Genomic DNA, 26,823 nt, shown 5'->3' with positions numbered 1-26,823 from the left:
GTTTGGCAGGAACAAGGAGGAAGAGAGGAGTGATGAGAGCAATATGAATGGGCTTCCATATATCAAAATAGAAAGTTATATTACAAACATTATATACAGCTTCCATTTATTGAGACCTTACCAAGTGCTAGGTTCTTTACCAAGTACTCTGCATGCAGACCTTATCTATTTTAATTCTCACAACTACCCTGTGATGTATGTATTATTAAGCCCATTGAAAATAAATCAAGAAATAACCTTAGCAAGATTAGGTGTCACACAGTGACTACTAGATTAGAACTGGACTATATGCCTATCTAATTCCAAAGCTGTCTAATGCATGTTAGCAACATTACATTGTGACTGCAATATAACAACTATTCAAAAGTTAAAATATTTTTAAGTCAGACAAATCTAAAACACCATTTTAGTACATTTCAGGTTTAATATATTTATTCTGTTTTAGAATTATCAATATTATTATTATTTCATTAACCATGATATGCCATATTTTCTTTATTATTATTATTATTATACTTTAAGTTCTAGGGTACATGTGCACAATGTGCAGGTTTGTTACATATGTATACATGTGCCATGTTGGTGTGCTGTACCTGTTAACTGGTCATTTACATTAGGGCTATCCCTCCCCCCTCCCCCCACCCCACGACAGGCCCCCGTGTGTGATGTTCCCCACCCTGTGTCCAAGTATTTCCGTAAAGATTTTCTTATTCAATGGCAGTCTACACCATTATATCAAGCAGACTGATTTGGTTCATGGTTCTCTTTGATTAAAATGTATCAGTCATTTATGTAAGATATCGTCAATGAATTCCCCTTGAAATCATGGAAACAGGTAATTAAATTCTGTCATTTTCCCAAACTTTGGCTTTGTTCTTTTCCTGGAAAGGCATAATATGATCCTAGAATAAACCAAGTCTCATTCCCCCAAGGCTAATTAACATGCAAATAAATTTTCTATACACTAGTGTTTTTACTAAGTAAATCATTGTAGCTGGACATATCATTTTTAAGCAGAAATTTTTTTTATTTTTGTATTTTGATAACTCTAAAATGTTTTAAAAGTTTGCAAAGGTAAGAAATGAAAGGCTAATGTATTCTTTTTGTGCAATCAGCCAGTCCTTGGTTTCTGCTCGGATTGGTATATTGAAGAAATGCTAATAGTATATCTGTAACCTGTTAAGGAATATCAAGTCTCTTCAGGAAAGGAATAATAAAATGCTAATGATCAGCATTAACTGTCTGAATTGGAAGGGATTATAGAGGAACATTTCTGTCCTTTTCCTGTCAAAAGAGGATCACCTTCTACAATAATCCCAACCCAGCCATTACTTATACCTTCCAAATTCATGCTGTAGTAGACATTCTTTGAGGGAAGAAGTATATATTATTATTATTACTATCTGGAATTTCATAATGCTTTGCATAGCATTTTACATAATATATGCTAAGTACATTTTTCAATGAATATTTTAAAATTCCAATAATCAGGAATTCTCTACCTCACAAAGCAACCCTTTTTATTTTTAGGCAGCATCTACCTACTTAAGTAAAATGTATTCTCCTCATCCTTCTGGTACCAAATAGCAAAACTCTGATTCTTCTACCATGATGGCCAGCACATACTCATCATTCAAATAAGTTCATCAGTGCCCCTCTTAATATATGACATAGACAAGTGAACTTCACATGCTGTGGTTCAACCAAATATGGGCTGTGATTGTTTTTCACCTCCCTTTTTCTGGTCACTAAGATTATATTCTTGGCAGCCTTATCTTAGCTCAAGTTTAGCAGTCAACTCAAATTCTTCTGTGGTTTTTTTTTCTCCATCACATTACTATCATACAAATTTACCTTTTAACCTTCTCCACAATAAGAAAGAATCTGTACATTTTAAGATTACTGAAACAGGGGAGAAAATAGAGCAGGCAGAAAAGCCTTTGCTTTATTGGTTGGAGAGAAGGAAAGGAGACACTTGTAAACTTATATTAATCATTTTTGGTCCATCAGATACTTTATTTTGCAGAGCACTTCCTCACTTCTCAGTTTTTATTGTTTTGTTTTATCCTGTGTTGTTTTCGTATGATCTATTGTTGAGCCAGGGTATCCTCATATGTACTTGTGTGATAGAGTTTTAAAAACATTTGCAGCAATCTGTGGCCAACCCTCACATCAATGACATGCTGCTGATAGGAAGAAGTCTCTGTATGAGTATTGAAAACACTGAGATTTACTTATTGGATGCATTTTATTTATATGGTTTGATTCTTATTTTTAATGATTTTTTTTCTATTTTACAATTTTAAGGGTAAAAAATGTATAAATATTTGGAAATAGCTACATCCATGGAAGAGAGACACTGATGAATGAGTTTGAATATGAAAATCTGATGGTCTATCCTGAAAGAAGAATTAAAGTTTTGCTATTTAGTACCAAAGGATGATTAATAGTTTTTCTGAAACCATAAAATGCTCCTGGTATCTTCTAATTCCAAGTTAAAAAAACTCTGTAAAATGTTATTGTAGCTATTTAGCTTTAAGCAGATTATTATTTTACCAGAATATTTAAACATTTCTAAATATTGTCATCTTTATTCATAAATGTTTCCAATATCTGTTCATATAATCTCTGTATAAATTTCACATACTATACAGCATGCATTTATATATGGTAACTAATAATATTTACTACTTAGAACACAGTTAGAAATGAATGCAATATTCATTTTGTACAAAGACAATATCTCAGAAGATAACAGGAGAGCAAACTGAGGTAGAAGAATGAGCTAATTAGATTGGAATAAGAGAAATGTTCCCACTTTAGTTCTCCAGTGTCTGTTTTACAGACTATTCATTTATATTAAAACATGTTTCTAAGTGAAGCAATTATATGATACTTACAGATTTTGCAAACAAGATGTGAAATTGTTGAGTATTATACACTGCTCCACAGAATGATTTTAAAGTATTAATTTTGTACCTTGACATGGTGTCTTATGTGATATTTGCAGATTAGAATGCAAATAATAAAGTTTTGCCAAATTGGTATGTATATATATATAAACAGTTTTAAAACAGTATCGTAGGCTGGGCACGGTGGCTCATGCCTGTAATCCCAGCACTTTGGGAGGTTGAGGTGGGCGGATCACGAGGTCAGGAAATCAAACATGGTGAAACCCCATGTCTACTAAAACTACAAAAATTAGCTGGGCGTGGTGGTGTGTGCCTGAAATCCCAGCTACTCGGAAGGCTGAGGCAGGAGAATCGCTTGAACCCAGGAGGCAGAGGTTGCAGTGAACCAAGATCATGCCACAGCACTCCAGCCTGGTGACAGAGCGAGACTCCATCACAAAACACACACACACACACACACACACACACACACACATAAACACACACACACATAAACACACACACAAACAGTATGGTAAAATACAATACCAACAAGCAACAAATTAGGTAAAGAAGTACATTGGAGTTTTGAATTTTAAAATCAGGTTTATTGAAATATATAAAGTAAAATTGATCATGTTAGTATAAATGAGTTTTCATAAATACAGAACATTTTTATTACCCCAAAAAATATTCCTTCATGCCCCTTTGTAGTCAAATATCAATGTCACTAGCCTTTTTCTCTCCCATCCTGCAGTGCCACTGCCAGAAAGGGATTGAACCACTAACCCTGGATCTGCTGGAAGGCCCTGATTTGGCTTATCTAGGGAAAGGGCTGCTTCTAGACCCTTCAACCCCACTTAGCTGTCTAGGGTACTACACCTGACCCAGATGTAAGTGAGATTGCATTTGTACAGAGAAAGATGGAGCTGCCATCAAACCAAATGGAGGAAGAAGCATTTTCCAGAATATAGCTGCTGTTCCCTAAGCAGAGACTTGGAGTCCTGGGAACATGAAGTAATGGGTGCCCACATTATAGTAATTTGATAAAAATCAGTTAATAACTTTCAGTGAGATAGTTAAAAATCATTTTTTAAGATAGAAATGACTTCTTAATATGCTAACTGTAAGATACGTATGTTGTAAGATAATAGAATACACATTATACCTAATGTAATAGAAAATATTCAAGGCATAAATATAATCTGAAAAAGCTTATGGTTAATTTTTTTAGTAAGTAATCTTTTTTGATCATTTTTAACTCCTCAAAACAATACACTTGGCACTGTTGTTTTTAAATCTCAAGAATAAGGACTCAATTATTTCTTCAATTTGTTTTCTTCATATTCTGAATTTCACCTATATATATTTATTTTTTCATGGGGGAGTACACAATAATTCAGTTTTGAAATAAATTAAAATAAACTCAGATCCCTTTGTAAATGAAGGAGCATTAATGTCTTTATTAAACCACATTATTGAAGCAAGATTGACATGTAAAAGCTGTACATTTTAATATACACAACTTTATGAGTTTGGACATAAGAATATACTCATGTACCCATCACCACAATCTATACCATAAATCTCTCCATCAGCTCCACAAGTTTTCTCTCACCATCTACATTATTATTATTATTATTACGTGTGTGTCTGTGTGTGTGTGCGTGTGATAGGAACACAAGAACTACCCTCTTAACAAATTTTTAAGGAACAGTAGTATTACAAATTCACCTCTAGCTTTCTTGAAAGGCAGTGCCTTTTAATTGTTTATGCCTTCATTTCATTAGGAGTTTCTTCTGTCTAAAAGCTTATTCTGATTGATTTTCCCCTAAGCAGCCTAAAACAATTGAAAAATCTTGTTATTGTGTAGCTGTTGGAAAGTCAACTTTGTTTTAAACACCACATCTGACAGTTAAAATTTACTGTCACCACAGTATTGCCCTTCCTGAGAGAGATTTGTTGTTGATTTCCTCCCTAATTTTGGGTCACATGGTAGAGAAGCATTGAACATATGTTATTGTGACAAAATCCACACATGGATATTTATGAAACTATAGAAACCTTTTGCAGTTCTCCAGAAACCTGTGATGATAACATTCTAGTTATCTTTGGTTATATTTTTGGTGCAATATATGCATTTATTCAGTACTATTAAATACCTACTTTGTGGCAAGTATAATTTAAATACTGAGAACTCAGTAGTAAACAAAGTCCTTGTCTTCACAGAATTGTATATTGGAGAACAAGCACTACACAATAATTATATAAGAATGCCATGTGAATTTTAAGTGCTATTGAAAAAAACAGTGCTAGGTGAGGGAATGGAAAATGATGGCAAGATCTTGTTTTGAGAAAGAAGATAAAGTGGTCAGAAACATCAGTCCTCTCTGAGGTGATTACTGAAGTGAAAAAGATAAGAAAGAAGCCATGTGACTCTCTGGGGGAGGAATGTTCCAGCAGAGTAAACAACATGCATTAGACCTGCCATGGGCAATATTTGATGCAGTAGGGCAAGGCAACTCGAAGTGTGCTCACCATGTTGATCATTTATTACAAATATACAACAAGATTTAAAGCAATGTAATGTAATATTTGAATACATTGAACTGGCAATTGATATGAGTTGCATGTCTTTTTTATTTCATTATTTGGTAAGTTATTTTTATTGTATTTTACAAAAGTTTAGGCTCACACTCAATTCAGGGAAGGGGCTTGTCCTTCACTATAGATAATCTGAGAAGCATCATGTTTGAGGAAGGGAAGAGGGCCACCTGGGTGAGTTAGGAAAGAGAAGACCTTGGTTCACTTAGCTGTGGTGGGACAATGAGGATATTCTCTTCTGAATGCAAAAAGAATCAAGCTGGGCTGCTAAAAGTGAGAATGGGATGAAAAGTAATTAAGAGAGGAGATATAAAATAGAGTAAATAGTTCAAGGAAGTAGAGTTTCCTGACTGTGGGGAGCACACACCTCAGGTTTGTAGTCAAAAATTGAATGTGAACTAGTCATTATAGTTATACGTTTGTCATTGTTGTTAAATCCAGCCACTTTCAGCTGTTTTATTACAAGTGCAGAGTAGGCAGAGGATAAAATTTAACTCAGATTTGGGTTTCTCCAGCAAAATATTAAGAGGGGAAAAAATAGCTGAGAGTTTATAAAAGGATGAGATTAGAATGATTCACTTGGAATCTAAGCTGGATAAAGAGTGAAGTGAGGACAGGGGATGGCCAATGAAAGGCCAGCAGACTAGAAGTGCCAATGAGGCCAGTGAATCCCTGAATGGGAGCACTAGAGCCCATGAGCTGAAAGGTAAGGGCAATAACTCTGTGAAAGGGATGCCCAAATTGGTGTTTGGAAATGGTGCAATTATTGGTAATGACTGGGGTGGAAAAGAAGTCATCTCATTGTGGTAATATTCTAAAACACTAATAGAAAGCCTCATTTTCAGACTTAATGCAGGTCACAGTAGTATTATTATAGTACCATGTTTTAGATGAAATTAGTTACCACCAGAAATAAAACATTCATGTATTATGATATTTAGCATTTCAAATCGGATAATTACAAAGGTTTTCAAGTGTTTTTCTTAAGTGAATGTATAGTTCCCTTCCTTTTCTATATATGGTGAGAGGTGAACTTCTTTGGAGAGGAATATGTGGGATGAGTCAAAGTACTGGGAGAATGGAAAGGGTGGGGAGTTGCTGAGTTATTATATTAGTGTCTGCTATCTTGTAGTTCAATGTCAATCTTTTGCTGTTGCCTTTAGCCTCTCTTCTGCCTGGAAGGTGAAAAGAAGGCATTTATGGAGAGATCTACATTATAGAAGAGAAAGGGGAGAAGTGTTATAAGTTTCAGGACCAATCAATTTTAGACAAACTGTTGAATATTTCAATTCCTTTAACATGGATGAATTTTGAAGAGTATTTGAGAAATAAGTCAATATTTTAGATCAAAGGCCATAAATATCTTAGTTATATTACAATAATTTGTAATTATGTGAAGAAACAATGTACCAAATTGTCTCTACTTGGTTTTGGTTTAAAATATAGCATGCCCTATATATGATAGTACCAAAGCTTTCTTTTGTGTGTAGAAATGCATTTTATATGCATGACACCAGGATACTTAGATGATAAGGCATTGCATGAATAGAAGGACAGTCACTCCTTATTAAAATTAATCTTTATTTTTGTTGAAATGTAAGACTTACTGGTATTTTTTTCTTTACACATTCTAATTTTCTTGAGTCCACTTCTTTATTTAAAAAACTTCACATTTTTGCTTTAAATTTTTATCTGTAAGAAATATGTTTGCATTTGGAGGAGACATGTCTGTGAAAACCACACGTGTGTGTGTGTATATATATATTATGTATATATTTTATATATACCCATATATTTTACACACACACACACACATGGGAGAATTTGTTTTCTTAACTTCCAATGGAATGCTATACGGTGCTTCCAATGTTTGACTTGTCTAGCTGAAAGCTATGATGGATTTCTTCATCCTAGATGATATGTATTCCCTTTACTTCATTACACTTAATCTATCTGTGCAAGATCTTATGGCCTGTGGTAGACTTTATACTCTACCAGACAGCTTATCAGTTTCTTTGCAGGCCTCTCAATTTGAATTTTAAGTAAAAATGAATAAATTTGTGTTGCTTGTTGAGACTTTGTTCTGAAAGGCTTCTGCTCTCTGATTCTAGGGTGATAACTAGAGAAAGGAAGGTCATAGATTGTCATTTACAATAGCTGTATTGTATCTATGTGGTCTATGTATATATACACATACATATGCATATACTTGACATATGCATATATGTATGTATATGCACATAGTGAATATATAACTAAATGCACATATACATTAATGTATAATATGTGTTTAAGGAGTAAGAGAGGAGAGCTGGTTGTTGATTATCAGAAATAATTTGATATTTGGAAGGAAGAAAGATTTATCTTAATTTAGATGGGGCAATATATTGTACCATCTGCTGTTTAAAAACGAACAGTCTTATAAAATTGAAAGCAAAACCAGAAAATAATTTAAATATTCTTCTGGCTTCTATATGATGTGAGGATTGAACACATTGCTAAATTCATCCCAGTGGGTCAAAAAGGGCAGTTTGAGAAACCCAAGCCCAAGAGGAAATGGAACAATTTTATAAACAAAGTAAATAAATATAAAATGCTCTTGCTATCAAAATTGAGTTAATACATCTCTAGCTGCTCAAAACAGTTGCTTTAACACATAATGAAGCTGTTTAAAAGATAGTCAAAATGCTATACCTCAGGTTTGCACTCAGATCATTTTTTTTTTATATTGCTTTTGCTGTTGGAGGACTCCATACTCCAAATCTCAACAGGATTTTAGGTGAGGAGTTTTGTTTTGTTTATGCTTTTGTTTTTCTTTCCAAGTTATATGTGAATGACTAAAGTATTCTAAAATCTCCTCACATATTTATGTCTTTTAGAAGAGCTTATTTCACAATGTTCTTTGTAACTTTTATGAAGGTAAAGATATAATGATTCGTTCCGTGTTAATCTATAATATATATTTTTTCTAGTGTTTGTTAAAATATATTATTATTTGTCAATAATTTGTACTGAAATTTTATGTTTCTTGGTCAAGACTGTTCCCCTGACCTTTAAGGAAATTTGTATTACTATAGCAGAATACATTTTTAGTTATACATTTTCAAGGTTTCATTTACAGTACAATAATTTTGAACACTATTTAATAAAATATCAAGCAAAATAAAATAATCCAGATCTTCCTTTGTACTTTAGTTCCATCAAGAATCAACTCTTCCTGTGCATAAATTTTTCTCACCAATGAAGAAATCAAGTTGTGTTTAATAGGTAGTCAAAATTCATTATGTGTAAAGGTGCAAGTTATTAGGTTTACTAGAAGAAAAGAGGGATACAGAGATAGTCTTGAAGCCATAGAAATAATTCTCCCTTATACATGGTACTGAACAAAGTCTTCTACTTTTGTGTAAAAGCAAAATACTGTAGTCCTCCTTCATCTTTGGATAATGAATCCTCCACATTTAAGGGATATTAGATCATTCCTACCAATAAAAAACTATTTATTTAAAATGAAAACTAAGCCTTTGTGTGAATTTAAAAGTATTGTCTAGTGTGAAAACTGAGGAAAAATTAAGTCTGAAAAGTCAACTGCTTATATCTACCTTCTTTATTTTGATCTGGCCTTTTCTTCTGAAAATGTTTATCTGTAAAATGGACATCCTGATGACGACAATGATGATGATAATTCTGAGCATAAATCCAGTAGTTCAAATAATTCACTCTTTCTTGAAAAAAAATTTTTCTATAAATTTTTGGGAAATTACCTACGTACAGATCAGTAGTCAATGTATTCAAATCAATTTTGTTGCAAGAATCAGGGAACTAAAGACACTATAACAATTCAAGCTAGGGATGGACCTGGTAAAGTAGAGGTGTTGTAGACAAGCTCCTGACATTTATTATGAGATATTTGACTACTAAAAAGCATTCCTTGAGGTATTTATTTGAAAGGTAATGCTTCAGATTAAAGGAAAAAATTAATGTTTATATATTTTTTTAATTTTCAAAGGCCACTTGTACAAATTCTCTTTTACCCTTATAGGATTTTAAATACATTCTCCTTAATTTGTTGATCTGACTGTAAGTAATGCCTTATGCTTAGGGTTATTCTTCAGAGTAATGTAAAATAACATGTTCAGCTGTCATAAATGTTATTCATGTAGGTTGCCAGGTATAGAATGAATTCTAAATAATGTGAGTGCTAAGGAGTCTGGAAGCAATGTTGCAACTTGTGTATCTGGATGCAAGATAGGGGTGCAATAGCATTTTATACAGGAGATGGGAAAACATCTTTCTCCATTGCAGAGGAGGAGATGGAATGACAGTGTCTGAGTAGTCCAAGAGTGTTCCCAGCATTTGTTGGCACCCTGCTTTCTGGTGTCTCAATTTTCTTTTTAATTAATCAACACCAGTGATTTGGATTAAAAAAAAATGTTGCTAGTGAAATAAAAGCAAAACCTTGGCACTGTTAAGTATAGAATTGAAACCAAGTTATTAGTATCTGACAGCATTTAGATTGGGAGAAGTAGAACAGAGTCTATTCTCATGGACTCTTCAGTACTGCGTGATTTACTCAGAGCTCCTGGATGTTGATTCTGAAGTCCAGATGACTCATCAGAAACTGGCAATGAAGGGCAACCTGGATTTAGATATGTTTGTACATTCAGATTAGTGTTAGAAAGAGAGAGGCAGAGATTGATGGAGAGAAAAGGGGAAAGGAGAAAAGAGATTTATTGACTTCATTGACTGTAATTAAAAGGAACTCTGATCATTCAAAAGACCTTCCTCAAAGTTTCACACTTCTTTGTTCATGTTAAAACCTGTTTTTGTATCTAGGTTCTCAGTAGGGTACCTTTAAGCAAAAAGAAGAGAGGAGCCCTTTAAACTATAGTTTCATGAAATTTCACTCATTTTATATTAGTGACTTTGTGTGTGTGACATTTTATTCTTAAAATGTCTGAGATAGCTTTTACCTATCGGGCTCTCATCACTTCACAGATGGACTATTGCAGCTACTTTTTTAATACTGTTTTTAACATTCTTGATTCCTGTACTCAGAACCTGCAGAGGTTTACCACTGCTTGCAGGAAGTTCAAATTCTTCATCCAATGTTCTCCATAATGTTGTTCGTTCTCCATAATGTTGTTGTTCTCTGTCCATCTAATTTTGCCTCCCACTGTTTTCTGACCAGATCATAAACTCCTGCTAGACATATTCTCTTTCATTCCTCGCTGTCCTCTGACTTCATGCTATTTTTCTCTAGGCTGCTTTAGCTCACATTATTCTCCCCTACTCTGAACTTTCACTGATAGATTCCACTGTGTGTATTCCTTAATTGCCTATACACCATACTTCATTTTATTCACCCCTCTTGGGGGTGCATAGACCTTGTCATTTTCCTTTGTATGTCCCATGTGACTTGTTTGATGATGAGTAGTGCTGTCTGCAGAGAGAGCACTCAAGTGATTATAGAACATGTCCATTAAGTTTCCCAAATAGAAGACTCTTTATCTCCTATTCTGCCACTCTGAAAACTAAACAGAGGCTGTGAAAGGCTCAGTATTGCTGATGCTGTAAAGACAGGACACCTAGTTGCTTGAAGTCCCAGATGATTGATAGAAATAGTTTTTGTATAAAAAAGTGAAATTGATTAGCAAATTAAATAGGAATAAAGACAAGTGAGGGTGATTTAACTTAATTGAAGAAGAGATTAGAAAAATCAGAGCTGTTTTTAAAAAATAAGAATAAAAAAATCAGTGTGGTGAACACACCAAGGAGACTTTCAGAGGAAGGTTTAGATAAGTCCATAGGACAATAATCTTTAAGGTATAGCAGAAACATTGGACCTTCTTGAATAAGGAATGAAATTGTCACATACATAAATCAGAGTTCAAGAGGATTACCCCATCCTTGTTGATCAGTGCTCAGTAAGCCAGGTTGCACATCTATTTTTTCCCGTTGTGAGACAGGAAATAATTAAAAAGGGAAATAATCAGATTTGTAACTTAATAATATGGTTTGTAAAACTATTTTATATTCATCTGGGGCTGGCCAGAAAGCCATCTCTACTAGGCATGATGAAATTATTCTGACCATTCTCCAGTATTTATAGTGAAAATACATGTTCAGTATCTCTTTTGTTTCATAATATCTAAACAAGAACACGTGGATTATTTCCATCTTTAATTTCGGGACCAGGTATATATTAGCTCTTTTAAGGAAGTGTCATGTGGCACAGGTCCAAATACACATCCTTCCTTGATAATAATAAGTCTTTATTTTTATAAAGCTGTATATTTTGTAAGTCAAATATCTGTGTCTTTCTAAATATGTGCCGGATGTTTACATTTCAAATGGGCAAGAAAAATACCTGATGTGGGATATACCAGTTTTGTGGGGTGAGCTTCATTTATTTATTTATTTGTATTATTACTTGCCATTATTTGAAATAATTCATAAGAGCTATATAAGCTCTTCCTTTACTGCCTGGAATGTTTCATATGACCTACTAAATTTTGCATTACTGTATTATTTTAGCTAGTGGGAACATTTAGTATAATTACTTTGGCTATTCTTTATTAGATTATGAGCCTCCCATTACTTCTAAAAGACTATCTTGGATGCTGTTTGGGTTCAGTAAATAACTATGTATTACTGCAAAGGTATACTGAGATTTCTATTTTAAGTGGTGTCTGGCTAGCAGCCCTGGACACAACCTTCCAAAAATTTCCAGTAAATTGACTATGAAGACACACAAAGAGATATCTGTTCGTAGTATGGATAATATAGACTGATTGTCGCTTACTGCCAGAATTTGAGAGGAATTCTGGAATTGTTTTCCTACATTTAGTTACATAAAATTTCAAAACTATAGCAGTTAAGATAATTTTCTAATGGACACTTGCGTACCCACCTCCTGTATGTTACTATTACCATTTTATCCTACATGCTTATCCCCCACTCCATTGATGGAACTAGATTTTCAAGTGCAATTGGTGGCTTACCTATGTACACTTTTGGAAATAGAGCTAAGTTTGCCCTAAGGCAATAAGTAAAAAGCTGCATGGCTCAAAATAAAAGGTTTCTTTAAACTGGGAACTGGAAGCTACTCATATATTGTATAAATTTTGCTTTTCAAACAAAGCAAACCCCTTCTGCAAGTACCTATCTGTTTTAGTATGTATTCAGAAAGTAATTAAATGAGAAATAGGGAGGAGGGGACATGGTTATATTTTGTCCCCTGCAGAGTATAGCTCTCACAAGTGGAACCCTACAAGCAAAACAGATAGGAAGAGGCTAGGGTAGTGGTTTATGCAGCAGTGTCTAGTTTTGTACACATTCCAGCAGTTCTGAACTTAGTGCACTGGGCTATTGGAGAACAATAAGGTCCACTTCAGAACTGTGGAAGATCCCTAGAGGATAGATTCTGGGGTTTGGATAGAAACCATGTACGTGGACTAGCCATCCAGCTCTGAGCAATGGATTCGGCCATTACAGAAGGGCATATGAAGTGGGCCAAAGAGTGAAGAATGCATTTTCTTTGTTGGCTATCACCCAAGTTAAGTATAGCTCCACCCTTGTCCACAAATACAAAAACAGAAAGAAATAAGATAGTGGTTTTAAAACAATAAAAATACTTCAGAATTATGCTACAACAGTAAAATCCTAATGAAAATACAACTGCATCTACAGTGTTTTGCAGACAGGTACCTAGCCAAGAATTTTATACCAGATTAAGTAAGTCTTCACATGAGAAGGCAACAAAAAGGCATTTTTTAAAAAGCTAAAGTTGAAGAAATATACCCTTATACAACTTCATAAAAAAATATTTGAATCAAAAGTAAGAGCCTAAGGATGCCATTTTATTAAATGAATTATGCATCTTCCCTTACACATTCCGATCCTAGATCACGAAAATTTAGATGGGATGTGTGTTTGATCAGTAAATAGCGCAGCTCAGGGAAGCACCTTAATCCCTATATGTAATGCTTTTCTCAGATGTTTTATTTCTTCATTTTTTGATACCATATGTATTTGTCTGCCTAGGATGCCATAACAAATTAGTACAAACTGGGTGGCTTAAACACCATGGTTCTGGAGGCTGCAAGTCTGAAATCAAAGTGTCAGGAGGTTTGGTTCCTCTTAGGCCTCTCTCCTTGGCTTGCAGATGGCCACTTTATCACTGTGTCCTCACAGTGTTCTTTCCTAAGTGTGTTCACATCCCAGATATCTCTTTCTCTTCTTATGGGACACCAGAGATACTGGAATAGGACCCCACCCTAAAAACCTCATTTAACTTTAATATCTCCAAATGAAGTCACATTCAGAGGTATTAGGAGTTAGGTTACGGCTTCAACGTACGAATTTTGGGGAGACACAGTTCAGCTCATAACATCTTATTCATTGGTATATCTGACGACTTCTTAAAACTCTACCAGATGCTATTCTTTTCTTGTTTTTTTTTATTATTTTTATTTTTATTTTTTTTTATTTTTTGAGTACTTGATCACAATGGCCAACCTCTAAATGTAAACGTGATTGTGGCATTCAGGGTAAACCCAGTGCACATCTCATAGACTTAGCTTCACTGTTATAAATCAACAGCATATGGAATTAGCAGCATTTTGAGGCTCAGAGGGCATAGGGATATCCTAGTGCAGGATTTAGCTAAGAAGGCCTTGTTTCTAAAACAGAGTGAATGGAGCAAAGTGCATGAGAATGCAGTGGAGCAGGCTGGCCATACACCTTTCAGGCTCACTCCCTAGGCTGAATCTCAACCACATTGAAAAACAGTTCTGGGAATCCCCAAGTTTCATATACATGTGATAACAAGGCAAAAGTGAACAGACATTTCTGTTGTACAGGCAGCATAAAGTTGCTTAGACACAACAACTCCTTATATCTAAGGGAGCCAAAGTGAAAGGTGGACCATGGCACAGTGGCTTTACCAAACCACCAGGGAAGAGCACCACTGCTCTTGGGTCCAGCCCTCTCCTTCAACCAGTCCTCCAGCTGGTCAAGAAACATAGTTCAACAGTAGTTCAAGGAATAGTGAGAGTGGAAAAAAGGAAACCCCACATATTTTTTGTGAGCACACATCAATCATGGTTAGACCTTGCCTTATCTAAGACTAAATAGAGAAGAAAACAAAATGTGGTGATATATTAGGGTCCTCCAGAGAAATAGAACTAAATTATTAGGAGAGTGTGTGTGTGTGTGTGTGTGTGTGTGTGTGTGTGTGATTGAATGATTAATTTTAAATTGGTTCACAAGATTGTGAAAGCTGATAAGTCTGAAATCTGCAGGGCGTGCCGGAAATTCTTGCAATAGTGGATGTTGCAATCTTGAGTCTGAAGGCAGTCTAGAGTCAGATTTCTTCCTCTACTAGGGACCTTTGTCTTTTTCTCTTAAGGCCTTCAACTTATTGGATGAGGTTCACCCACGTTATGGAGGGAAATCTGTTAACTCAAAGTCTACTGATTAAGTGATTGATTTGTTTATTTGTTGGTTGGTTTTAAGATAGGGTCTTACTCTGTCACCCAGGCTGGAGTGCAGTGGTACAATCACTGCAGCCTCGACCTCTTGGGCTCAAGCACTCCACCCACTTCAGCCTCTCGAATAGCTGGGACTATAGGTGTGCACCACCATGCCTGGCTAATGTTGGTATTTTTTGTAGAGATGGGATTTTGTCACATCGCCCAGGCTGGTCTTGAACCCCTGAGCTCAAGTGGTCAGCCTGCCTCGGCCTCCCTAAGTGCTGGGATTACAGACATGGTGAGCCACTGTGCCTGGCTCTGCTTAAGTGTTAATCACATCTGCAAAATGCCTTCACTGCACACCCAGTCTAATATTTGACCAAACCCTGGGCACCATAGCCTAGCCAAGCTGACGCATAAAACTATCACAGGTGACTATAAAATGTTCTGAAATTTAAGTTTTGAAAAATACAGTTATCACAAGGCAGAGTAGAACAAGATGTTTAACAAATCTCTCTAGAAAAGATCATTTTTATATCATCAGTAGAATTCAAAAAATACGGGCTCTGAGACAAGAGATAAGACAGACCAAGGAGCAGTTCAAACTCAGGAATAATTTTTAAATATGCGCATGTCCTAAGAAAAGCTATAAATACATAAGTATGTTTGTTTTGTATTATATAGTTGCATTTGACTATGGAAATGGAAATATATCCTTCCTCACAAATATAGTTTATTGCTAATTATTGGTAAATATATTTATTTGATATTGCAATAATAGTATTATTAGACCCACTTAGGGCCAATAAAAGCTCATAGGTTGTCAAAACTGTTTTGTCACTTTGGTTGCAAGGGGCAGAATTTGATTCTTAAAATATTGGAATTTTATATTCTTATTATAAATTTGGGGGAAATAAAAGATAAGGAGTTGCCATAAATATGTGAGGGCCCACAACATCAGTGTATTTCTTGTTGTTTAAAATCTTTCTTTAGGCTAGGTGTAGTGGCTGATGCCTGTAATCCTAGCACGTTGGAAGGCAAGACGAGAAGATCACTTGAGCCCAAGAGTTCGAGAACAGCCTGAGCAACATAGCGAGACCCTGTCTCAGGGGAAAAAAAAAAAAAAGCCTTTCTTTAGTTATTATTTCATTCAGATAGCTATGAAAGTATTTTTGGTTTTTGCTTGCTTGTAGCTTTTCTGTTTTCTACCACACAAAAAATCCAATTTTAATTTTGGGTTTGTGAAATATGTTTTATCAAAATATAAGCCTGATGTTTCTTATCTTCCAAAAAATTTAAAAATATTAGCTCAGATGTAATTTTGATCATAAATGATTAACATGTAAACTTAAATTGAATGTAACCACTTCATATGGATATTTCAAGGTAAAAAATGAAATCTAAAATATCTGCACACTACTTTTAAAATTTTGTCCATAAAAATGAGAAATACCGATTCCTTATATTCTCAAATTTATTTCATCATTTATATATGTCATATATGAAAATGTGTTCTTTTTGATATTTACTTTAGATATCAAAATAATACAAATTTTAAACCTGAAATAAACCGTAGATATCCGTTGTCAGGATTATATCTTATAAGTCACATCATTCTATTCATCTTGTCTAAACTAATATTGTTATATAGTATCACACAAGAAAAAATCAAACTATAAATTAAATGTCAAATTTCTGTTTGTTTTTCAACATACAGTTTTAAATAGATGTTATTATTCTCTTTCTGTATAAATACCCTGAGCAGAAATTGTCAGCATGCACGTATCTTTTTTATGGTGGAATTTTTGACTAATGAGTTTTTGTTAGAAATGTATCAGTTCTACTTCATTTTATAGTTGAGGTGTTCATATGAGTCAGTCTCAGTAATTTTTGAGTGACTTTCTGTAGAAAGTTGTTCTCTAACTAGAATGGAAGATGCTGACACCTAGATGTTCAAATGGGGCTGATGGAAAAAAATCAGGACAATTTTGTATCTTATATGGGCAACAAAGCATTATAAAAGGACATGAAGGATGGTTTGTCATATCCATTAGTTTTTGCCGTTTTATCTATTAGACTTGCAGTAGCATATGTAGAACACAGGTTGTGTATGGTGGGAATAATTTTGTGGAGGATATTATGAGTATGATATTCACATGCTAAATGAAAGTCAAGTATGCCATAAATTTAACTAATGTCACTTATGTTTTGTTCACATAGTAGTGGTGTCATCAGCGTAATACAGGAAAGATTTACAGTACAGCCCAACATGACTGCTGTTCTCTAGTGTGGGCCCCGGTGGGGAAAGGGAGAATCAGAGGAAGAGACTATTACTGATGGCACTAGTTTTCATTTTTAAAACACACAGCCTGGGCTGGGCGCTGTGGCTTACGCCTATAAGCCCAGCACTTTGGGAGGCCGAGGCGGGCGGATCACGAGGTCAGGAGATCAAGGCCATCCTGGCTAATGGTGAAACCCCATCTCTACTAAAAATACAAAAAATTAGCCGGGCGAGGTGGCGGGTGCCTGTAGTCCCAGCTACTCAGGAGGCTGAGGCAGGAGAATGGCATGAACCCGGCAGGCGGAGTTTGCAGTGAGCCAAGATCGCGCCACTGCACTCCAGCCTGGGTGACAGTGAGACTCCATCTCAAAAAATAAAAATTAAAATTAAAAAATAAAACACACAGCCTGTAACTATTTGACCTTTTGTCTTTTATAGTATTTTAGTGTGCTTTTATTTCATTTTATTTCATTTTACTGAGCATTTTATTTCATAGCTTTAGGTACAAATGTGGAAATTTTAGGAGCAAAGCAGTTTGTAATTATTTGTCTCAAAAAATTGATTTGACCTTTAAAGACATAGTTTTTGTGCATCAATGGGACTAATTTGTTTAAATAGTTTATAAACAAACTATTAACCAGTATGATATTTTTCTTAAAGAGATCAGAGCCAAGAACAATAACAAAAAAGTGATGACTCATTTTTCAACTTTCAATTTATGTTACAAGACATTATCACAGCATTCATTGGCTCTAATTTGACATTAAATAAACACAGTGAAAAAACAATCTTTGAAAAGTTATTCATGCTTTCGTATAAACAGAGAGATGGTGGTTTGGAGATACCCCTTTTAAAACTGAGCCTCGTTAATTTAAAACAAGCACAATGATACAACTGTACTTGACTTGAAGGAGGGCATATTGTTCTGCAGGCGTCCTAATTTTACTTCTGGTCAGAGGGACACTGGAAGATTTTCAGCCAGAACTGCAGTGAGAGATGAATTTTTATTATATGCTGAGATGCTCAGATGCCTGGAAACAGAAAAGAGCTAATTTTACTGTTGAAAAGTAGTTAATAGGCTACCTGTTTCCAAATATGCACCTGCCATCCCCCACCACTACCATCCCAAGTAGATGCAGACTAGAGCATTCATAGTGGTCGTTCATCCGATGTGGCTCCGCATAGATTTTTATTAAGTCAGGCATGGTTTGTGTAGCCCTCCCCGCTCCTGGAACTGATCACCCATGTTTTTTGCTACCAGAGAAGTAGTTTTTCAAGCAACACACAGCTTGTATGTGGAAGATTTCCAAAGTCACAATTGCTTCTTTATCTTCCAGTGACTTTGAAAGAAAGCCATGGCATGAATAGAATGCTCAAAGCTCTGTCCCTGCACAATCTGTAGTCCTTTATTTCAGCTATGCTTTTTACTGCTTCTTGGGAATTGATTTTTCTCTTCAATGTACCACACCCCTTTCAATTCTCTCTCCTTAAAATGGAAAAGAGAAAGAAAATGGTGCACAAGGTGTCTGAGAAGTAGAGCAAAAAGTAGACATGTGTAAATCCATAAGGATATGAAATGGATGGAAAATATAAGACACAAGACAAACAATACTCATTCATGCAACAATAAATTATGTAATTCTGGAGTGGAGGAGCTAGCCCAGAACTTTGCAACATTCAGACCAAATTTCTTAGACTATAATTCAGTTATTCAATTTTTTTTTATATCGGTACTTCCTTATTCCTTAATGTGTCTGTTTTCAGAGCCTTGGGTATCTAAATCAGAGGTGAAATCTCTCCGTTTCTATGCCAAAACCATTCCATTTTCTGGTCAAATAGTCCCTGAGTGTTTAATGTAATTGCCAAATGAATTTTCAAAATATGCCTTGGAGAGTTACAATAAAACATTTTCAAGGCTCACAAGTCTTACGGTGATCAGGATTAGTTTGTTTAACCAGCATTTCCTAAATGAAACCCTTTCACTCGATAATGACTATTTTTATCTCACTACCTTGGATTAATGTGTAGATAGTGGACTGTACAGATTCAAAAGATAAAGGAAAAAAATTTTAGGACTTAGTAAGAGAGGAATATAGGGTTAGGTGAGCAAGGCTTCTAGATTTCTAGCTCGTAACTCAGTGGGACCATTCACTGAATGAGACACTGGAGTATTTTTTTAGGGCTTTCATATATGCCCGGGCAACAAAGTATGTCTCGTATTCTTGATTTGAAGAAAGGCAGGCTTTCTGTTCATTGCAAGAGTTATTATTGAGAGCCTATCCTTTGAGAAAATATAATGTTTGCAGAAATAGATTTGATATTCTAGCTATGTAAAGAAATGAAACTTTAAAATGTGAGATAGAAAAATTATAACCAGAATAATTAGAACAAATTACATTCCACATCAAGGCACCTTACTGTTTAGACTTAAGCAATTATTTAATGTCTGCAGTATTGTCATCTGAAAACATTCTATGACTTAGAGAAAATATACCATATCATAACTCTAACTGTATTATTCTATCTTTTTGCCAAGCAATACAAGCAGAGTAGTACATTCAGAACTGGCAAGATGATTGTCTGAATGTGACATTATCTGATGACACTCAGAAAGCCTTTAAACATAAAAGATATAGAGAAATGCTTCATTGCTTTCCTTGGATGGCATTTTTTCCTTTCAGCCTAAGCAAGATTAATGTTCTCAACTGACATGATGACACATCTAGCTGTGAAATGACAATAAAGTATATACAAAATGGGAGTAGGGACATGCCTAATAAAATGCAATACCTTAATTTTTTTTCTAAATACTATTAGTTTGAGATTGTTCTGAAGGTAATGATGTTCAACTTGTAAATGTGTTGCATATGCCATTATGTTTATACATTCGTCTGTACACACTGTTTTTATTAGGAGTGATATATCACCTCACTTTTGCTTGACTCCTGTATCTCAGAAAAGTGATGGCATTTCTTATTCTCTTCAGTTCTATTTAGCAGACATTTACTGAGTATTCTGTTGTTGTTGTTGAAGGTAGTGTGCAATATGTTTCTAATATGAATGTAACAAAAAGAACCTGAGAATATCAATGAAATTTAGGTGAATACTTAATTCCTGGTGATCAAAGCTAATGGGTGTTCTAATGAAAAAAAGTCTAGCACTATCATGGAATAACAGCAGAATCTGGAGCAATAAGGCAAGAAATAATTTTATTTTTCAGACAAGCCACATTATTAATGAAAACATGCACCACACATGAATAACATTGGAATATTACCTCTTTCTTGAATAGCAGTGATGAGATGGCCTACTCTGAGAGGTACTGAAAAATCAGTTGAGGAGATTATTGAGCTTAAGTGTGTAATAATCAGAATGAAAAGAAATACATGTAGTCAGAATTACAAGCCAACTTAAACAGATAATTGATAAGGCAAATTGTATAATATTCAAAGCAAGAAAGAAGACCTAGAATACATCAAGATCTCTATCTGTACAAATCGTGGTTCACATAAGCAGTATGTGCAATTAGTGGAAATATGTCCTGATGAAATCAATAGGCCTGTTTAGGCCTTACTTTTCAAAATGGGCACTAGTAACATCTTTGATAGAAAGAATTCTTGTTGCAGTACATTGAAGTATTGGTTCATGTCATTTCTGTGCAGCACTCATTTATCATCTGTTTCAAATGAATCTTTTTGGTACTTCATATTAGCTTGTGAACGTACAAAAGTATCCTTCCTATCAAGTAACTCTAGCATTAGAAAAGAATGACTGCCTCTTGAGAGTTGAGTGTATAGCTTGATTTATTCATCTGCAACAGAAAAATTCCTTCAAAAGTTTTTACTGTATCTTAAAATTTTGTTGGAATTCTGTATTCTTTCTTCTGGCATGTTATTGTGATTTCTACCTTAACTCTTTAGAATCCAGAGGAGGTTCACCAGAGTTTTCTTGTGGTTTCTCCTTTTTCCTGTGAATACACAAGTACTCTCTTTTGAGAAGCACAGTATTGTGCAGATTTTGCTCTCAATGAATTGGTCATGATGTGCCAAAATGATGTTCACTCAAAGTGTTCTGGGAATCAAGGGAAGAGAATTGACGGCTGTACCTGTGTCCATTTGAAGGGCAATTTGGATAGGAGTGGTTTTGGTAAACCAATGAGGAAAAAGAAGAGGGTCTTCCAAGCTGAAGCACAGTGCCTATGCTTGTATAAGCAGTGAGGCTGGGAGGGTGGGGTGAGATTCTAAAGAAGATGGAAAGATGACTCGAGATCACCTTGTCTGACTTGCTATGCAAACTACAGATTTTGATCCTCATGTATTACATGTATTACTGATTCTTTAACATTGAAAGCTACTTTAAAAAATGAAATTAGTGTGAAAGTTCAATAAATACTTTATAAAGATATAATTATCTTAAAACTTTATAAAATTTCCTTATAAGCCAGTAAGTGAAAGAGTATTTTGATAAAAGCAAAAACTAAACTTCATTGGTTTTAGATGATAGCAGCCATCATATATTGGCCTTAACTTCTCATTAATTTCTACATTTTGTTTTGGTTTCATGGTGTCTGGAAAATCCTTATTAGTATAAATAATACACATCATTTTAAAAGGGTATATTAATAGTTTATTTTGAAATCACAGGACAGTCTCTTAGTAAGCTGATCCACAGGCTTGAAAGAGGAATAATTGGAAATTATTTTAATGCTGAGTCATTAAGAAAATTTAACTGCTGCTTACCATGCTTACCAGGCAAAGAGTTTAGTTTAGATGGAGTACACCAATCATTATTGAAAGATAATATTTTGAAGTAATCTCAGATATGTCAATATTCTGCTTAGTCAGACATTGAGTTTGTAAATAGCCATTTTTCCTTTAGTTTGCATGCTGCGTCTAAAAGGCAAGTTCTAGTTTCATCAAAGACACTCTCCCTACAGGTAACATTGTGACCTTGCATCAAGAAAGTGAGCTTGTTCAGCTACATAAAATCCTAGGTCATAAGCAGGACAAGACATTGCATCGCTGTTGTAATTGTTTAGGTATAAAGCTAATACAGTGCATATAGGGTCTGTATTGGGAAAACTATAAAACACTGATGAAAGAAATAAAAACACAATAAATGAAGAAGAGATATTCTGTGTTCATGGAATAGAAGATTCAATATTGTTAAGATGTCAGTTCTTCCTAACTTGATCTTAAGATTCAACAAAATCTCAATCTAAGTCCCAGTGTCTATTTTGTAGATAATCAATAAACCAATTCTAAAGTTTATGTAGAAAGGCAAAAGACCTATAATAGCAAACATAGTCGTACTGAAGAAGGAAAACAAAAAGTTGGAGTACTACAGTTAACCAATTTCAGGAATAACTGTTAAGCTACAGTAGTCAAGATAATGTGGTATTGGAGAAATACTAGACATATAGATCAATGAAATATATCAGAAAACCCAGAATAGACATATACAAATATAGTTTACTGCTCTGTAACAAAGACACAAAGATGATCCAATGAAGAAAGTAGTGTCTTTTCAACACTGCAAATTAGCAAAACATCATACCCCTCTAAACCTATTAGAATGACTAATATCCACCAAAAAAAAAAAATGAAAGTACCAGTTGCTAACATGGATGTGACACAAACAGGAATTTTCATTTATTGCTAGTGGCAATGCAAGTTGGTACAGTTACTTTGACATTTCATACAAAATTAAGCATAGTCTTAAGATACTATCCAGCAATCACATTCTTACCTAATTGATTCAAAATCTTATTTCTGGGCTGAGTGCCATGGGTCACCCCTATAACCTCAGCACTTTGGGAGGCCAAGATGGGAGCGTTGCTTGAGCCCAGAAGTTTGAGACCAGCTTGGGCAATATAATGAGACACTGACTCTCCAGATTTTTTTATTTAATTATCCAAGTGTGGAGCTGCACACATATGGTTCCAGCTACCTGGGAGGCTGAGGTGGGAAGATCGCTTGCACCCGGGCAGTTGAGGCTGCAGTGAGCCATGATCATGCCACTGCACTCTAGCCTAGGCCACAGAGGGAGACTCCATATCAAGAAAAACAAAAACAAAAACACTTATTTCTGCAGAAAAGCCTGCATACAAATATGTATAAGCAGCTTTATATAAAATCACCAAAAACTGGAAGCAACCCAAATGCCCTTTGGTAGGCAAACGAATAAAGAAATGGTGGTATATGCACACAGTGGAATACTATTCAATAATAAAAAGGAATAAAAAGAAATGAGCTGTTGCTTGTCTCACTCATAAATGAACAATGAAAACACATGGACACAGGGAGGGGAACATCACACGCTGGGGCCTGTCAGAGAGTTGGGGGCAAGGGAGGGGAGAGCATTAGGACAAATACCTAATGCATGCGGGGCTTAAAACCTAGATGACGGGTTGATAGGTGCAGCCAACCACCATGGTACATGTATACCTATGTAACAAACCTGCATGTTCTGCACATGTATCCCAGAACTTTAAAAAAAAAAAGCCTTAAAATAGCAAAAAAAGAAATTAGCTATCACTTTATACATAAACATGCTTGAGTCTTAAATATATATTGCTCAGTGAAAGGAGTCAGTCTGAAAACGCTAAATATTGTATGATTCAAATAATATAACTATTTTTTAAAACCCCAAAGGCGACTGGGCACAGTGGCTCAGGCCTGTAATCCCAGCACTTTGGAAGGCCGAACTGGGTGGATCATGAGGTCAGGGGTTCGAGACCAGCCTGGCCAGCATGGTGAAACCCTGTCTCTACTAAAAATACAAAAATTAGCCAGGTATGGTGGTGCATCCCTGTAATCACAGCTACTCAGGAGGCCGAGGCAGAAGAATTGCTTGAACCTGGGAGGCGGGGGTTGCAGTGAGCCAAGATTGAGCTACTGCACTCCAGCCTAAGGGACACAGCAAGACTTCATCGAAAAAAAAAAAAAAAAAAAAAAAAAAGAAAAGCCCAAAGGCAAGTGTATTAGTCTGTTCTTGCATTGCTATAAAGAAACACTCAAGACTGGGTAATTTATAACAAAAGAAAGGTTTAATTGGCTCCCAGTTCCACAGGCTGTACTGGAAGTATAGTGGCTTCTGCTTTTGGGGAGGCCTCAGAAAGTTTCCAATCATGGCAGAAGGCAAAAGGGAGGCAGGTGTCTTACATGGCAGGAGCAGGAGCAGGATGGGGGAAGATGCTGTACACTTTTAAACAACCAGATCTCATGAGAACTCACTATCATGAGGACAGTATCACAGGGTATGGTGCTAAACTATTCCTGAGAAACCACCACCATGATCCAATCCCCTCCCACCAGGTCCCACCTCCTACATTGGGGATTACCATTTAACATGAGATTTGGGTGGGGACACAGATTCAAGCTATATCACCAAGTCTGAAGAATTACATGACATTTTTTAAAAGGCAAAACTATAGAGACAATGTATGAGTTAGGATTGTACAGAAAATTTGAAACAATAGAATGTGTCTATTTGTAGAAAGGGATTAATTATAGAAAGCAGCTCATGAAATTATGTCTGCTGGTAAATCCAAAATCTGCAGTTTAGCAGGTTTGAGAACAGGAGAGTCAATGGTAGTTCTAGTTAGAAGGCTGGCAGCCTGGAGACTCAGGAGAGCTGATGGTGCAGTTTCAGTTCAAAGGGCAGCAGGCTCATGACTCATGGAGGAGCCAGTGTTGCAAATGAATTTTTAAGGGCAAATGTTGCAGATAAAATCTGAAGGCAGTCTGCTGGAGAATTTCTTTTTTCCTCCCGGAGGCTGGTCTTTTTGTCTATTCAGGTCTCCAGCTGATTGGATAAGGCCTACCCACATTATGGAGGGCAAAATGATTAAGCATATATTAAATGTTAATATCATCCACAAACAACTTTTAAGTTGACAGAAAAAAAAAATAATAACCATCCCAGAAGATAAAGGGATCAGTGGTTGCCTGAGGTTTGTGGAGGAGAAGAGGTTTGAATAGGTGAGGCACTGAGAGTTTTTTAAGGGCCATGAAACAATGATACTGTAATTGTGGTGTAGTGGATTGACTGATGACCCCCCAAAAGGATGTGTCCACATCCTAATTCCTAGATAATGTGATTACATTACATGGCAGAAATGTGAATATCACCTTATGTAATATCTAATGTGTTAAACAGATATGTTTATATGATTAAGGACTAAGGACAGGTGTGATTAAGAATTAATGAATAGGGCCTCTCATGGTGGCTCACGCCTGTAATCCCAGCACTTTGGGAGGCCGTGGTGGGTGGGTCACCTGAGGTAGATCAGGTGTTTGAGACCAGCCTGGTCAACATGGCGAAACCCTGTCTCTACTAAAAATACAAAAATTAGCTTGTTGTGGTGGTGCATGCCTGTAATCCCAGCTACTGGGGAAGCTGACACAGGAGCATTGCTTGAACCTGGGAGGCGGAGGTTGCAGTGAGCTGAGATGTTGCCACTGAACTTCAGCCTGGGTGACAGACTGAGACTCTGTCTCAAGGAAAAAAAAAAAAAAACAAGTTTTAATGAAGGGATTATTTGGAACTATCTAGGTGGGCTCTAAAAGACTACTTCAGCCAGGTAGTGAAGGTCGGCATCCACAGTGATAAGTCATGTTGTTAGTATACGCTCTTGCTGTGGTATGATGTAAATGGCACTTTACCTCTCTGGTTTCCCTCCCCAAAACTCATAGACTCAGTTTATAATCATGAAAAAAAATTCAGACAAATTCCAATGGAGGGACATTCTGCAGAATACCTAATGACTATTTCGTATTAAAACTGTTAAGGTCCTATAAACATGGGAAGTCTGGTAAACTCACAGAACTTAGAAGATGAAGGAGATATGATGTAATTAATTTTCTTGGTTGGGAACCTGGAACAGAAAGAGGACATTAAGTAAAAACTAAGTAAATCTAAATAAGTCTGAATAAAATGAGTTTAGTTAGTAATAATGTACCAATATTGGTTCATTAATTTTGACAAACATACCATGTTAATGTAAAATGCTAGTAAGAGGAAATGCTATATGGATATATGGGAACTTTGTACTATCTTTGGAAATTTCCTGTAAATGCATAACTATTCTAAAAATTTATTTTTACAAGAGCCTGTGTACATGCAGGCCTGACCTTTAAAAGAAAAAAAAAGTACAAATTTCCTCCTAAGTTGTGTATTAGTTTCCTACAACTGTTTATCAAAGAACCACAAACTGGGTGAATTGAAACAACCTAAGCTTGTTCTATCAAAGTTCTGGAGACCAGAAGCTCAAAAATCAATGTGTCTGCAGTGCCATGCTCTCTCTGAAGTTTCTAGGGACAATGCTCCCTTGCCTTTTTCAGCCTCTGGTGACTCCTGGCTTTCCTTAGCATTTTTGGGCTTCCAGATGCATCACTCCAATCTCTGCTTTCATCTTCTCATGTTCATCTTTCCTATGTTTCTGTTTTCTCCTTTTCAGATTCTTAAAAGGATATTCATCATTGAATTTAGGGCCCACCCAAATCTAATATGATCTTAAGATCCTTAATTACCTCTGCAAAGAGCCTTATTCCAAATAAAGTTCCATTCTGAA

General features: G+C 35.6%; 1 protein-coding gene and 1 long non-coding RNA gene across 7 annotated transcripts in view, besides 1 other annotated feature; both read left to right on the top strand.

The window, feature by feature from the left end:
* PTPRK (protein tyrosine phosphatase receptor type K) overlaps window positions 1–26,823 on the top strand; it is a 551,815-nt gene that overhangs the window by 370,788 nt on the left and 154,204 nt on the right. The window lies entirely within an intron of this gene.
* The window catches only part of LOC124900216 (uncharacterized), a 61,437-nt gene extending 34,614 nt beyond the window's left edge, over window positions 1–26,823 (top strand). The window contains exon 2 of the long non-coding RNA XR_007059752.1: window positions 1–26,823. This exon is cut by the window's left edge and continues 29,126 nt beyond it. This is a non-coding gene — a long non-coding RNA (uncharacterized LOC124900216).
* Window positions 23,936–24,134: a silencer, noted in NCBI's record as "fragment chr6:128446823-128447021 (GRCh37/hg19 assembly coordinates)". NCBI's record gives its function as "represses an EF-1alpha promoter that drives an FKBP-Casp9 reporter gene in an ReSE screen in phorbol 12-myristate 13-acetate-treated (for megakaryocytic differentiation) K562 erythroleukemia cells {active_cell/tissue: K562(+PMA)}" and the evidence as "EXISTENCE:reporter gene assay evidence [ECO:0000049][PMID:32094911]".

The sequence above is a fragment of the Homo sapiens genome, chromosome 6, assembly GCF_000001405.40.
Source record: "Homo sapiens chromosome 6, GRCh38.p14 Primary Assembly".
In the NCBI taxonomy this organism is placed as follows: domain Eukaryota; kingdom Metazoa; phylum Chordata; class Mammalia; order Primates; family Hominidae; genus Homo; species Homo sapiens.
This window is presented reverse-complemented; position numbering and strand designations above follow the sequence as displayed.